Consider the following 14,919-nt stretch of genomic DNA (forward strand, 5'->3'; position numbering starts at 1 on the left):
CTGGGACTACAGGCATGCGCCACCACACCCAGCTAATTTTTGTATTTTTAACAGAGACAGGGTTTCACCATCTTGGCCAGGCTGGTCCCAAATTCCTCACCTCAAGTGATCCTCCCGCCTCAGCCTCCCAACATTTGTATACTTTTTGAAGTCACACATCTTCCTGAAAAGTGGATAGAAGTTTTCAACCTTCTTCGCAGGATGGAGGGCAGACACAGAACTTCAACACAGTGACAGGGGCTTCAAACGACTAAGTTCCGTCCAGGTACCCTTGGGTAAGAACCCTAGAAAAGCACCTACTGAGATGAAAACGAGCCTAGACAACATAGTAAGACCTCGTCTTCACAAAAAAAAGAAAAAAAGAAAAATAGAAGGGCATGGTGGCACAGGCCGTAGTCCCAGCTACTTGGGAGGCTGAGGCAAGAGGATCGCTTGAGCCCAGGGGTTTGAGGCTGCAGTGATCTACGATCACTGCACAGAATAAGACCTTGTAAAAGAAAGAGAAGGCGGGGGGTGGGCAGAGAGGGAAAAGAGAGAGGGGGAAAGAGACTGGTAGAAGACATGGGGGAAAGTGGGGGAAAGACGTGGGAAGAGGAAAAGAGAGGGAATAGAGGGAGGGAAAGACAGGGCGAGAAAGGAAAGAAAAGGAAGAAAGGAAGAAAAAAGAAAAGAGAAAAAACATATAAACCTTGTGGCCTGGGAATTCCATTGTTAAGAATTTACTCTGCAGAGAGAATGGTGTTCATGGCAGAATATTTGTAAGAGCAGAAACCTGGAAAAAACTCAAGAGTCCTTCATTATTAAACTAGCTGAATAAATTCCATTCCACGGACTATTACACAGCAATTTGCGCTACACAGGAGGCACTTATTTTCTTTAAAGTGGATATATTAACTCCATGTGCTGACTGTGTGCATAGATCATCTCAGAAAGGAATCACCAAAAAATCCCTAACAGTGGTTGGCTTTCAGGAGGGGTGGGAGAGAGGTTTTGAGTCTATACCAGCGCCAACCAATAGAACTTTCTGCAATGAGGACAATGTTTCAGAGCCACATGAAGCTGTGGAACACCTGAAATGCGGCCCATGCAGCCAAAGAACCAAATCTTTAATTTTCTTTAATTTTAATTCATTTAGATTTTTTTTTTTTGAGATGGAGTCTCGCTCTGTTGCCCAGGCTGCAGTAAAGTGGCGTGATCTTGGTTCACTGCAACCTCCACCCCACCAGGTTCAAGCAATTCTCCTGCCTCAGCCTCCCAAGTAGCTGGGATTACAGGAGCCTGCCACCATACCCGGCTACTTTTTGTATTTTTGGTAGAGACGGGGTTTTGCCATGTTGTTCAGGCTGGTCTTGAACTCCTGACCTCAGGTGAGCCACCTTTCTCGGCCTCCCAAAGTGCTGGGATTATAGGCGTGAGCCACCGCACCTGGCCTCACTGAGATTTCTATAAACATGTGTGCCACTGGCTACCATATGGGAGAGTCAGTTCTATACCCTTTCATAGCTTTTGAACTTTGAATCATTTAAATGTATTGCCTATTTAATTGTAGAATTTAATAATATTTAGATTGAATTAATCTCAATGAAATCTACAATAGAATTTAAATTTTATCAGCGCATGCTTGTCTGAAAAGATTGCCAAGGTGTACGTACGTATATGTGTATTGTGTGTGTGTGTGTGTATGCACGCACACACACACATATATATATTTTTGAGACGCAGTCTTGCTCTGCTACCCAAACTGGAGTGCAGTAGTATGAAATCGGCTCACTGCAACCTCTGCCTCCTGGGTTCAAGTGATTCTTCTGCCTCAGCCTCCCAAGTGGCTGGGATTACAGGCACGCACCACTACACCCAGCTAATTTTTGTATCTTTAATAGAGATGAGGTTTCACCATGTTGGCCAGGCTGGTCTCAAACTCCTGGCCTCAAGTGATCCATCCTCCTTGGCCTCCCCAAGTGTTGGGATTACAGGCGTGAGCCACGGCGCCCAGCTGCCAAGCTATATTTTTGAGTAAAAAAAAAAAAAAAAGTCCTCACAGAGTTAAAAAAAAAAACAAAAAAACTGGGAAACTGGGAGTGGAGGCTCACGCCTGTAATCCTAGCACTTTGGGAGGCCAAGGTGGGCAGACTGTGTAAGCCCAAGAGTTTGAGACCAGCCTGGGCAACATAGTGAGACCCCATTTGTACAAAAATATAAAAAAAAGAAGCCAAGCATGGTGGCACATGCCTGTAGTCCCAGCTACTCGGGAGGCTGAGGTGGGAGGATCGCTGGAGACCAGGAGGTCAAGGCTGCAGTGAGCCATGTTTGCACCTCTGCACTCCAGCCTGAGTGACAGAGCAAGACCCTGCCTCAAAAAAAGAAAATAAAAATAAAAAAACAAAACCTAAACATGACAACTGGGTTTTCATGCTATTGCATGATACCTGCCTCCCTCAAAACTTGTTACATCATCATATCACTCACCTGATAGACAAAATAAAACCCAGAAACCCAAACTAAAAATATTTGCAAATCTATAAGGTTATGGGTTGTACTGTGTCTCCCTGAAAGATGCCGAAACCCTAAGCCGCAGGACCTGTGAATGTGACCTTATTCGGAAATAGGGTCTTCACACATGATTAAGCTAAGCTGAGGTGATGAGGGTGAACCCTAATCCCGTTTGCCTGGTGTCCTTATAAAAAGGGGATGTGTGGACACAGACACCTACAAAGGGAAGACTATGGGAAGACAGAGACAGAAGACCACCTCCAAGCCAAGGAGCTCTGGGGGCTTCTAGAATCCAGGAGCGAGACCTAGGTCAGATCCTCCCTGACAGCCTTCACAGGTGGGGAAAAAAAAAACAAAAAACAAAAAACAACAATAACAACAAAAAACACCTTGATTTCAGACTCCTGGCCTCCAGAACTGTGAGAACAAATTCCTATAGTTGAAGACACACAGTTAGCGTACTTTGTTAAGGCAGCTCTGGGAAATGAACACAGATTTCTCAGGGCGTGCATCAGTACTTCTGCAGGAAATTTGGGACATGGCATGCTTTAACTTACAAGTTATACCTTTCTCTATTCTGAATTCTTTTTTTGAGAGACAGGGTCTTACTTTGTCACCCAGGCTGGAGTGCAGTGGCAGAAGCATGGCTCAGTGCAGCCTTGACCTTCTGGGCTCCAGCAATCCTCTTGCCTCAGTCTCCTGAGTAGCTGAGACTACAGGCACACAACTCTGTGCCTGGTTAACATTTTTTAATGTTTTGTAGACACCGGGTCTTGCTATGTTGCCCAGGTTTATCTCGAACTCCTACCCTCAAGTGATCCTCCCAACTTGGCCTCCCAACTTTCTGTAATTACAGGTACAAGCCGTCATACCTGGCTTTTTCTTTCTTTCTTTTTTTGAGACAGAGTCTCGCTCTGTCGCCCAGGCTGGAATGCAGTGGCATGATCTCAGCTCACTGAAACCTCCGCCTCCTGGGTTCAAGTGATTCTTCTGCCTCAGTCTCCCAGGTAGCTCGGATTACAGGCACCCGCCACCACACCCAGCTAATTTTTGTATTTTTATCAGAGGCAGGGTTTCACCATTTGGCCAGGCTGGTCTCGAACTCCTGATTTCAGGTGATCTGCCCGCTTCGACCTCCCAAAATGCTGGGATTACAAGTGTGAGCCACTGCATCCCACCTGAATTCTTAAAAGCATGTTTTTGTGTTATTAATATCCATTTTTAACATCAATGACGGTGGGATTTGAGCCCATTTTTTTCTTGTTTATACATTTCTGGGTAATAGAACTAACACTTGTTAACTGGCAGGTAGAAAGGGAAGATCCCAGAGGTGGTGGCAATAGTTAACAGGGCTCTGGTACGGGGGAAGGAAATCCCTGGGGAGGTGTCAGGTGCAGACACAGGTGGGCCTAGGGTGTGGAGCAAACCTTGATGTAGTAGACGTCCCTGTCATCCAGCACCAGCTCCAAGTGACCCGTGTGGGCACTCCCAAGAGCCTCCATCTTTCCTGGGGGTGCAAAACAAGAGTTTAGAGACAAGGGTTCAACATCTGGATCTGGCCCCTCCGTCCCCCTGGGAGGACTGCCTGCCCTTTCTTTAATCTCTGAGCCTAAGATGTAGCACCTGTAAAATGGGGCTGGATTTAGTGCTGACCTCAGGAGGTCACAGACAAACCTATAAGCCAGCTCACTGCAGGGGCCCTGCCCCGGGTGTGGCACCGAGTGAGGGGCGCAGTGAGCAGGGAGGGACGTTGACATTACCGTCCAGCTCGATTTTCTTCTTGGGATGGAGAAGCTTGAGCCGGAACTTGTTCTGGGGCAAGCTGTAGCTCATGTCCACCCCGACGTCCCTCAGCACTTCTGACCCGGGCGTGCCCATGAAGACGTGGGCTGTGGCTTCTTGGGGGAACCAGCTGCCCTTCTGGAAATAGCAGAGTCTTCAAGATTGAGAGCCTCCACCTGTACCCTTCAGACACTCACATTGTTGTCCTCACAATCCCCCAACCAGGAATTTCTCAGGCTTGAAAACTGCCTGCAGAATTGTAAAGCTCTGCAGAACAGCCCAGGACCATGTCCACAGGGTCGCAATTTATTCAGCAAACGGCCAGGGAGAAGCGGCTGCGGTGCACACTCCTGGCACCCTGCACAGACCCCTCCCATCCTTTTTTGTTTTGAGACCGAGTCCCGCTCTGTTGCCCAGGCTGGAGTGTCAGCGGCATGATCTCGGCTCACTGCAGCCTCTGCCTCCCAGGTTCAAGTGATTCTCCTGCCTCAGCCTCCTGAGCAGCTGGGATTACAGGCATGCGCCAACAAGCCCAGTTTTTTTTTGTTGTTGTTGTTATTTTTGGTAGAGATGGGGTTTCACCATGTTGGCCAGGCTGGTCTTGAACTCCTGACCTCAAGTGATCCACCTGCCTTGGCCTCCCAAACTGCTGGGATTACAGTGAGCCACTGCGCCTGGCCTCTCCCATCCTTTTAACCAGCTTTGTGTCCTTGTCCCCCAGCTTCTGCAAGCTCTGCACTTCCTGGCTGTCACCTGAGGGCTTCAGAACATTGCCCTCCAGCACTGCAGCCAAAACTCCCAGCACCCTAGCCCAGAGGGGAACACACTCTGCGAGTACCTCGTGCTCTGGGGCTCCCTGTGAGACCAGGCTGAGGCTGCAACTTCACCTGAAATTGCACATCTCTCAGCATCTTCCCTCGGCCTTTCCTAATTTCTCCACTCTTTCTGGGTCCCCCGGAGCCTTTTCTTAATAAATCACTTGTACCCCAGTCCAAGGCTTCGGTCTCTTGTTGGGGAAGTGCAGCCTCAGCCACAAGTCCCGTTCGGAAATCCCATGTCACCGTACATTTGTTCAACACCAACAGAGATGTGTGCTGCTGCGTGGAAGATGACTGAGCATGAGACACGCAGTGCCCGACCGCGTGGAGCCTACGTCCTAGAGAGGAGGCACAGGAACACCAGACACGAGAACGGGTAAGACGGCAGCCGCCGGTGAGTGTGCTGGCGAAGTCATTGGTGTAGGGGCCCTGACCGGGATGCTGGTCTAGACAGGGAGGCCCAGGAAGGCTGCCTCTGAGGGGTCCCACTGAAGGACACTTGAAAGGAGCTAGGGAGGGAGTTAGGTGGATGTCCCGGGGAAGAGTGTTCCTGGCAGGGGAAACGCCCAGTGCAAAGGCCCTGGGGCAGGCATGTGTGTGGCCTTGAAAAAGGGGCCAGTGTGTCTTCAGGGCAGTGAGTCTGGAGGAGAGTCAGGGAAGGAGGCCAGCAGGGGCAGGACTGCCAAGGGCCTGTGGGTCACGGCGTCTGGCTCCTACTTTAAGGGTAACAGAAGCCATAGGGGGGCAGTCTACACAGAGAAGGGACACGATCCAGCTGGGATTTCAGAGGGCCCATCTGGCTGCTGGTAAAGATGGGAAGGAGACCAGAGCGGGAGCTGGGGGATCAGACAGGAGGCCACCGAGTGCCTCCTCTGGACCAGATGCTGATGACAGAGGGGTAAGTAAAACCAACCCTGAATCTGCTCCCAGGAACTGAGTCACCAGCGGGGAAGACAGACCTTATCCAAGTAGCTTCACTAAGAAACAGAACTGATTAAAAGGGAAGAAATGTGGTTGTCTTACGGCAAGTCACAAAAGAATATGATGTGCTCTGGGGTAACCAAGGCAGGCTTCCCTGAGGAAGTGACCCCTGAACTGAGACCTAAAGACTGATTCAGAGTTAATGCATCATACAGCCCCAGATGGAGAATCAGCATGTGCAAACGTCCAGAAGAAACCTACAGCAAGACCAGCACAGCCCAACAGCCCCAGAGAGGAGCCCCACGTCCTTTAGGGTGAGCCCAGGGCTGACCTAAGGAGATCCACAACATGGCTGAGAAAGACGGGGCTGTTGTCTAGGGCCCACCTGGGGCTGCAGGGTATAGGCAGCTTCCAGCAGGTACTGTCGGAGCCCCGGGTCCCGTTTCTGCAGCGTCACGGCCGCGAACACAGGCAATGAGAGCAGGTAGGGCTGGCCAGGCACCGGCCAGGTCACTCCAGTGCACAGTCGCCAGCCCCAGGTGTAGGACACTGCAGAGAGAGGTAAGCAGGCAGCACTGGTCAGTGGAGACTCAGAGGGCTCTGGGCATGGGTGCCCGCAGCTGCCACATCAGCAAAGAAACCTCTTCTCTAATTTCTTCTGAGGAAAGGCACCATGTAGACAGGACTCCTGTGAGGCAGTGGTGTGTAGACCAGGGTTTCTCTGCCTCAGCACTGCTGACATTTGGGATCAGATCATCTTATTTGGGGGCTGTCCTGTGCATTATGGGATGTTTCGCTGAATCCTGGATCCCCATCCACTAGATGCCAGTAACCCCTACCAACAACCAAATATTTCTGCACATATTACCAAATGTCTCCTGGGGGGTCAAAACTGCCCCAGCTGAGAACCCCTGGTAGACTTTTTCTTTTTTTTTTTTTTTCCAGACAGAGTCTCACTTTGTCACCCGGGCTGGAGTACAGTGGCACAATCTCGGCTCACTGCAACCTCTGCCTCCCAGGTTCAAGTGATTCTCCTGCCTCAGCCTCCCGGGTAGCTGGGATTACAGGCACGTGGCACCACGCCTGGCTAATTTTTGTATTTTTAGTAAAGATGGGGTTTTACCATATTGGCCAGGCTGATCTTGAACTCCTGACCTCAGGTGATCTGCCTGCCTCAGCCTCCCAAAGCGCTGTGATTACAGGCGTGAGCTACCGTGCCCAGCCCCTGGTAGACTTTTTAAAAAGAGTGTCAGGCAATACTGTGTAGAACACAGGCTCTGCAGCAAGAATGCCTGGTTCAAATTCTAGCTTGGCCACTTCCCAGCTGTGTGACCTTGGACAAATTACTTAACCTCTCTGGGTCTCAATGTTTCTTTTTCATTATTATTATTGTTACTACTCCCCAGACTCACTGTAAAGGCCTCAGTCTTTCTCATCTTAAACTGCTAATGATAATAGTTCCTGCCTCATGGCGTAGCTGTGAGGATTAACAGGTCAGTAAGTGTTGAGAGCAGCACCAGGCCTACAGTAATGTCTTTGGTAGTAACTCTTATCCCGATTATAAAAATATATTTGTTAGCTGGATATGGTCGCTCACACCTGTAATCCCAGAACTGTGGGAGGCCAAGGCGGGTGGATCACCTGAGGTCAAGAGTACAAGACTAGCCTGGCCAACATAGGAAAAGCCTGTCTCTACTAAAATTAAAAAAAATTAGCCAGGCGTGGTGGCAGGCACCTGTAATCTCAACGACTCAGGAGAATCGCTTAAACCCGGGAAGCAGAGGTTGCAGAGAGCCGAGATTGCGCCACTGCACTCTAGCCTGGGTGACAGAGGGACACGCTATCTCAAAATAAATAAATAAATAAATAAATAAAATAAAAATGTACTTGTTGCAGGAAATTAGAAAGAAAATCAGAAAGCTCAGAAAGATTTCTAAAATTTTTTTCTGTATTGTATGTTATAGTTTCAAGTTTATTTACAATTCTAAATGCAACTTAAATGCAAAAAAGAAACATTATCAAGAAGCAAAATTTGTATATCTTCATTAAATAGAGCCCTCCCCAACCTTACTCTAAAAAAAAAAAAAGAAAAAAAAATTTCAAGATCTCCTATTATTTGGCACATTTATTTCCTGTCTTTTTACCCAGTTGAGATCATATTCAGTGTTGCTGGCTTACACTTGGCATTATTATTAACGAAGTTTCTCATTAAAACAGCTCACTCATAATGGAGTTGAAAAGTTTGGGAAGCCAAAGCAGGCGGATCACCCGAGGTCAGGAGTTCAAGACCAGCCTGGCCAATGTGGTAAAACCCTGTCTCCACTAAAAATACAAAAATTAGCCGGGCTTGGTGGCAGGTGCCTGTAGCCCCAGCTACTTGGGAGGCTGAGGCAGAAGAATTGCTTGAACCCAGGAGACAGAGGTTGCAGTGAGCCGAGACCGCACCATTGCACTCCAGCCTGGGCAACGAGAGTGAAACTCTGTCTCAAAAAAAAAAAAAAGTTATGCGATATGTCAATAACTTACCAACCCAGGAGCCAGCAAACATTCTTCGTAAAGGGCCAGATTGTTTGTTTGTTTAGTTAGTTACCTAGATAGCTAGCTAGAGACAGAATCCTCCTTGGTCACCCCGGCTTGAGTGCAGTGGCATGAACACAGCTCACTGTTGCCTCGACCTCCTGGGCTCAAGCGGACTTCCTGTCAGCCTTCCAAGTAGCTAGGACCACTGGTGCACGCCACCATGCCCGGCTAATTTGTTAATTTTTATTTTTGTAGAGACAAGGTCTCACTATGTTACCCAAGCTAGTCTTGAACTCCTGGACTCAAGGAATCCTCTCACCTCGGCCTCCCGAAGTGTGGGGATTACAGGCGTGAGCTATCCGCCGGCCAGATAGTCAATATTTTATGCTTTGCGGTCACACAGTCTAGCTTGCAACTACTCAGCTCTGCTGTTGTGGGACAAAGTGGCTACAGGTGATATGCAAATGAAGGGGGTGTGCTGCGTTCCCATACAACTTTATTTCTGGACACTGAAATTTCAATTTCATGAAGTTTTCATGATATGAGATATTCTTCTTTTGACTCTTTTTAGCCACTTAATGTAACAACCTACCCTTACCTCACTGGCATTTATAATTAGCCATTTTGCCTACTCTGGAATATTTGAGTTGCTTCCTATTTTTTGTTCTAAATAATGATGCAACGAACATCTTTGTGCACAGAGCATTTTTAAGTGATTTTGGTTTGCTTGTATAGGGTAGAATTACAGAAGCATTATCATTGACTGAAGTGGTTGGTAAAGGAAAATAAAGCCGGGTGCAGCGGCTCATGCCTGTAATCCCATTACTTTGAGAAGCCAAGGCAGGTGGATCACTTGAGCCCAGGAGTTCGAGACCAGCCTGGATAACATGGTGGAACCCTGTCTCTACAAAATACAAAAAAAAAAAAAAAATTAGCTGGGCAGGGTGGTGAGTGCCTGTAGTCCCAGCTACTCAGGAGGCTGAGATGGGAGGACCACTTGAGCCTGGGGAGATGGAGGCTGCAGTGAGCCATGATTGCACCATTGCACTCCGGTCTGGACGACAGAGACCCTGTCTCAATAATAATAAAAGTACAATATCGGGATCCCAATTCGCTATGCCAAAAGGAAAAAATTAAGCTGGAAGCTGAGTCATGCAAGAAGCTGCCTTCTCTTGTTCCTAAGCAGGTAGCTACAGATAAAAGGTTAAATATTTGCGCAGCTATTCTATGTTCACCTTATCTTATGTAAAGTGTTGATTTATTGAGCAAGTATGAATATGTAAGTGACTATTCCCTTCCCTGCTCCTTTTCCCTTGCAGCTTGTGGATTCAGTCATGTGACCATACCCTCCCTCTTTCCCCTCCAGCCCGCTTTTCCCCTTTAAACAAAGGGAGGGAGAGCATTAGGACAAATACCTAATGCATGCGGGGCTTGTAACCTAGATGACAGGTTGATGGGTGCAGCAAACCACCATGGCACATGTACACCTATGTAACAAACCTGCATGTTCTGCACATGTATCCCAGAACTTAAAGTAAAATAAAAATAATAAATAAACAAATAAATAAATATTGAAGCTTTCAGAATCATCTCTGAAAAAAGGCATAGACCACAGATTGTTCTGTGGATTTGTGTTCCTTTATTTCCAAGCATGTCCTTAACCTTGGCAAAGTAGATGTCTAAATTGATTGAAACCTGTCTCAGATACTTTTTGGTTTGCAGAATATGAATACTTTTAGGGCAGGAGAGCAACTCTGGGATCTGGAGCTGGCATTTTTCCCTTCAACCCTGGGATGCCCACCTTGGTACAATGTCATGGAGGCCCTGCTGCCTACCTTCCTCACCAGTACAGGACTGGACCTCAGAAGGGCCAGGGACATGTCTGAGGCTCCTCACGCCATCCCTGGTGATGAGGTACAGCTGAGAGCTGGGTGGGGAAAGAGGACAGTGTCAGACGCATCATTTTCATTCATTCATTAGACAAGTAACACCTTGAGCTGCCAGAGCTTGGCACAGGGGCAAATTCTACCCTGAGCGGGGCCAGCCTTTGGGCAGTGCACACGCTGGTGTGGTGACACTCCGTGGGCACAGGGACAGATGCTGAGGACCACAGAGAGTGACAAGTGCTGTGAGAAACCCACATGGAGGACAGCATGGCACAGGGCTGTCTCGGGGATAGAGCAGGGCCTCCCCTAGCTGGAGTAGGGGGAGTTCTCTGCAGAGGTAACTTTTGAGCAGAAATCCAAAGGATGAGAAGGAGCTATTGTTCCAGACAGAGGGCACAGCAGGTGCAAAGGCCCTGGGGTAGGAACAAGTTGGCTGCTTTAGGAGCATGGAAAGAAGGCTGGTGGGAGGGGGTCAGGATAGAGGGGGACGGTGAGTGAGGGGCAGGGAACAGGGGCAGATGCGAGGAGGGAGGAGGGAGATGGGCAGAGTCCCCATGGAGCAGGACAAGGGAAAGAATATGGGTAGGTGGGGCAGCCTGGATTCACTCCCTCTAAAATTGCCCCTCTCCAAGAGTCACCTCCTTAGGGGTCACAGACAAGCATGCCCCAGAGGGACTCCAGGAAAGAGCTGAGGGGTCTGAAAGTTCTCCAGCTCTCACCTCTCAGCTGCCCACGGTCCCTGTCAGACACGCCCACCCTTCACAGTCAACAGACACACATGCTCGTGGACACACACGCACTCCCACAACACACTCACTCCTCACTGCCACACTCACGGACACACCCTCATGCACACAGCAGCTCATACATTCTCATATGTCTGATCATGTGTACTCAGACACAGGCTCATGGGTGCACACACTAACACACATGCATGCTAATGTCACATCCACACCCATGCACATCCCCTTGTGCACACGCAGACGTGATCACACACTCACATGCATGCATGCAAGCACACACACCACACACCTGCTCACCTGCACCCTCGTGCTCATGGTTCCCTTCCTGCCGGCACTGGGCACCCACCTGAAGCTGAGCAGCTCCACGGCCTCCTCAGGCGTGTTCAGATGCACCTTAAGGACCCGGCCCTTCTGCACCTGGATCCCGCCATCCAGGCTGGCGGCGCTGCGGACGCTGGTCACCCACCTCAGCCCGGCCTGCCCCAGGATGCCCGCTGTGCCCATCTGAGCTGAGATCTGGAGCAGGGCACTGAGGGACAGGCATGTACCAGCTGCATCCCGAGGGCCCTGGGGCCACAGATCCCACCTGCGACCCCCAGCAGCCCCCTGCAGTCCTGAGCCACAGCAGCCCCTCCACCACTGCCACCACTGCCACCCACAGGCTGTACATGCGCCAAGCACTTTCCAGTCCTCACCTGCACTAATCCCTTTTATGGATGGGGAAACTGAGGCTCAGAGAGGTGAAAGCACCTGCCTGGGTTCCATGACTGGGACAAAGCATGTGGCTGGGACATGTGAATCCCGGGTGTCTAAGTCCCAGCCCAGGCTCTTCACGCCAGAGAGCACCCAGCCTAGGGCATCTGCATTCCCCATGTCAAACTCAGGGCCCAAGGACAGCTCAGCTGAGGGGCTGGGGACAGATGCTCAGCAGCACCATGACAGGTTCCAGAATCGGACCAAATATTGCACACCTTCTGCTCTGGCGCCATGTGGCCCCAGGCTGTCAGTGTCCTCGCCTTGAACCTTGGTTTCCTCATCTGTCAGTGGGAATAAGAAGCACCAGGCTTGGTTGGTCGGGAGGGCGTCACACGAGTTCAGTGAGCTCAAGGCTACCTCCTCTCCTCCCTTCTGGGTGGGGTGGATGGAAGGGCATAGGGTTGTGGCCAGCCACCTCGTACTGCGGTGTGACCTTGAACATGTGACTGGACCTCTCTGAGCCTCATTCTTCCCACCTGTAAAGTGGATCTAACCACCCAGCATCTCTGCACACAGTCTCTTGGCACAGGTGTTCTGCAGAATAGGGATCCTCTCTTACCCATACGGATGTCACCCAGGCCTCTGCAGCCCTCTGTAGGGATGGGATCCCACCACCTAACCTGCGCCAGCTCCCAGGAGCTAGATACCTGGGCTTGACATAACCATTCACAGAGAAATCCGAGCGCTGCTGGAAGTCAGTGGTTCCTCGGACCCGGATGCTGATGGCAGCCGAGGCATTTAGGGTCAGCCGGGCAGGAAGGCCAGACACGGTGGGAAAGACCAGTTCCTGTGCGGCCAGGCTCAGCCTCCGGTTCATCTGCACCTCCTGCCCCTGCAGCCAAGAAATGATAAGCGGGGGCCGGGCTCGGTGGCTCACGCCTGTAATCCCAGCACTTTGGGAGGCCGAGACGGGTGGATCATTTGAGCCCAAGAGTTTGAGACCAGCCTGGCCAACATTGGGAAACCCTGTACTAAAAATACAAAGCTGGGACTACAGACGCCTGCCACCATGCCTGGCTAATTTTTGTGTTTTCAGTAGAGACAGGGTTTCGCCATGTTGGCCAGGCTGGTCTCAAACTCCTGATCTCAGGTGATCCACCCGCCCCAGCCTCCCAAAGTGCTGGGATTACAGGCGTGAGCCACTTCGCCGAACCAGATATTTTGTTATTTTTTATTTAATATCCCATTTCACAGATGCAGAAACTAAGGCCGTGGTAAGTGAATCAACAGCTTCGAGGAGGTAAACGGAAGAGCTGGGATTGGACCTTGGGCAGCCTGACTCCAAATTTCATGCCCTTAAGTGCTTTGCCAAGTGTCACAGGGCAGATGGCATGGGCAGGGGCAGGGAGGAGCTACCTTCATGAGCTTGATGGCGAGCTCGGCCAAGTTAAGGGGCCAGTGGTTCACGTGACTCCCCGTGGCCCCGCAGTTCACAAAGCTCAGCTCCTGCCCCAGCAACTTCACGCTCAGCTCGCATCGCAGAGCCTGCCGGGCCCCACGCCTCCGGGTCACCTGGGGGAGAGCCCAGACAGGTCACAAAGAACACAGTCAGGGTTAGCAGAGTGATATGGTTTGGCTGTGTCCCCACCCAAATCTCATCTCATAGCTCCCATAATTCCCACATGCTGTGGGAAGGACCCTATGGGAGATGACTGAATCATGGGGGCGGGTCCTTCCCGTGCTGTTCGCGTGATAGTGAATGGGGCTCAGGAGATTCTATGGTTTTAAAAATGGGGGTTTCTCTGCACAAGCTCTTTCTTTGTCTGCTGTCATCCATGTAAGACGTGACTTCCTCTCCTTGCCTTCCACCATGATTTTGAAGCCTCCCCAGTCAGTTGGAACTGTAAATCTATTAAATTTCTTTCTTTGGTAAATTGCCCAGTCCCTGGTATATCTTCATCAGAAGCAAGAAAACGAACTAATACACAGGGCAAAGTGCCTGTACTTTGGGAGGGGGAAGGGGTGGCTGAAGAGAAAGGTCAAGAACTTGTGGGATCCAGATGAGGCGTGCAAAACTCCTAGAGCATGAACCAAATCCCAACCCCAGATGTGTTTTCTCTGACTTGCACAGTAGTGCCCAATGCTGAGAGACTGTGTGTATGTTTTCATGAAGGTTTTATTTTAGGATAATTTTAGATTTACGGAAAAGTTGAAAACTGGCTTGGAAAGGTAGCTCATGCCTCTAGTCCCAGCACTAGGGAGGCCGAGAAAAGAGGATCGCTTGAGGCCAGGAGTTTAAGACCAACCTGGACAGCATATCGAGACCCTATCTCTACAAAATTAAAAAATTAAAAAAAAAAAAAGCCGGGTATGGTGGCACCCGCCTGTAGTTCCAGCTACTTGGGAAGCTGAGGTGGGAGGATCGCTTGAGCCCAGGAGTTCAAGGCTGTAGCGAGCTATGATCATGCCACTATACTCCAGCCTGGACAACAGACAGAGCAAGACCCTGTCTCTGAAAAAAGCAGAAAAGAAAAAAAGAAAATTTGCAAAGACAGTACAGAGAGTTCCCACGTATCCTTCAACTGATTTCCCCATTGTTAACATCTTCCATCACCAGGATGCATGGTGCAAACTAACAAACCAACACTGGTATGTTTCTATCAACTAAACTCCAGAGGTCATTTACATTTCACCAGTTTTTCCATTTCTGTCCTCTTTCCGTCCCGAGATCCAATCAAGCAAACCCCACTGCGTCTCGTTGCTGTATCCCCCTGGTCTCTGGTTCATGGCAGTTTTTTAGTCTTTGATTGTTTTTCATGCCACGTATGTTTTTTATAAATTGAATTTGGAAATTGGGAGATTTGATATAAAACCCAGCTCTCCGGCTGCTCTATAAAGAGAAACATTGGGCTGCCCACCCTCCCCACAACAAGGGGCAACAAGGAACCAGAGCTGAGCAGTGGCTGCCACTTTAGCTGGGCCATGGGCTTCCTCTGTCCGCCACAGTCCCCACCACTCCCTATTGTCTCTCCAACACTGAGGCCAAGTATCTGCTGCCATTCA

The 14,919-nt window shown here is 49.8% G+C and overlaps 1 protein-coding gene, 1 long non-coding RNA gene and 1 pseudogene across 4 annotated transcripts in view, besides 1 other annotated feature; 2 read left to right on the forward strand and 1 right to left on the reverse strand.

Annotated features, from left to right (window-relative positions):
• The window catches only part of LOC400499 (putative uncharacterized protein), a 155,563-nt gene that overhangs the window by 93,243 nt on the left and 47,401 nt on the right, over window positions 1-14,919 (reverse strand). For all 3 annotated transcript variants that reach the window (NM_001395505.1, NM_001370704.1, XM_047434105.1), the window contains exons 17-23: window positions 13,273-13,428; window positions 12,564-12,748; window positions 11,507-11,689; window positions 10,367-10,458; window positions 6,397-6,560; window positions 4,251-4,410; window positions 3,918-3,997 (exon numbers count right to left, since the gene is read on the reverse strand). In NM_001395505.1, the coding sequence (NP_001382434.1) occupies window positions 3,918-3,997; window positions 4,251-4,410; window positions 6,397-6,560; window positions 10,367-10,458; window positions 11,507-11,689; window positions 12,564-12,748; window positions 13,273-13,428 (1,020 nt within the window). The remainder of the gene's footprint in view (window positions 1-3,917; window positions 3,998-4,250; window positions 4,411-6,396; window positions 6,561-10,366; window positions 10,459-11,506; window positions 11,690-12,563; window positions 12,749-13,272; window positions 13,429-14,919) is intronic.
• Window positions 3-7,918, forward strand: LOC101927131 (uncharacterized). The gene is made up of 3 exons (NR_110907.1): window positions 3-275; window positions 5,358-5,466; window positions 6,021-7,918. It is a non-coding gene; the product is annotated as an uncharacterized LOC101927131 (long non-coding RNA).
• On the forward strand, window positions 2,384-2,472 carry LOC124903807 (uncharacterized; annotated as a pseudogene).
• Window positions 5,034-5,535: an enhancer, noted in NCBI's record as "H3K4me1 hESC enhancer chr16:11564147-11564648 (GRCh37/hg19 assembly coordinates)". NCBI's record gives its function as "activates a minimal SCP1, AML or CMV promoter by ChIP-STARR-seq in naive H9 embryonic stem cells {active_cell/tissue: H9 hESC(naive)}" and the evidence as "EXISTENCE:reporter gene assay evidence [ECO:0000049][PMID:30033119]".

The sequence above is a fragment of the Homo sapiens genome, chromosome 16 (genome assembly GCF_000001405.40).
Source record: "Homo sapiens chromosome 16, GRCh38.p14 Primary Assembly".
Classification (NCBI taxonomy): Eukaryota; Metazoa; Chordata; class Mammalia; order Primates; family Hominidae; genus Homo; species Homo sapiens.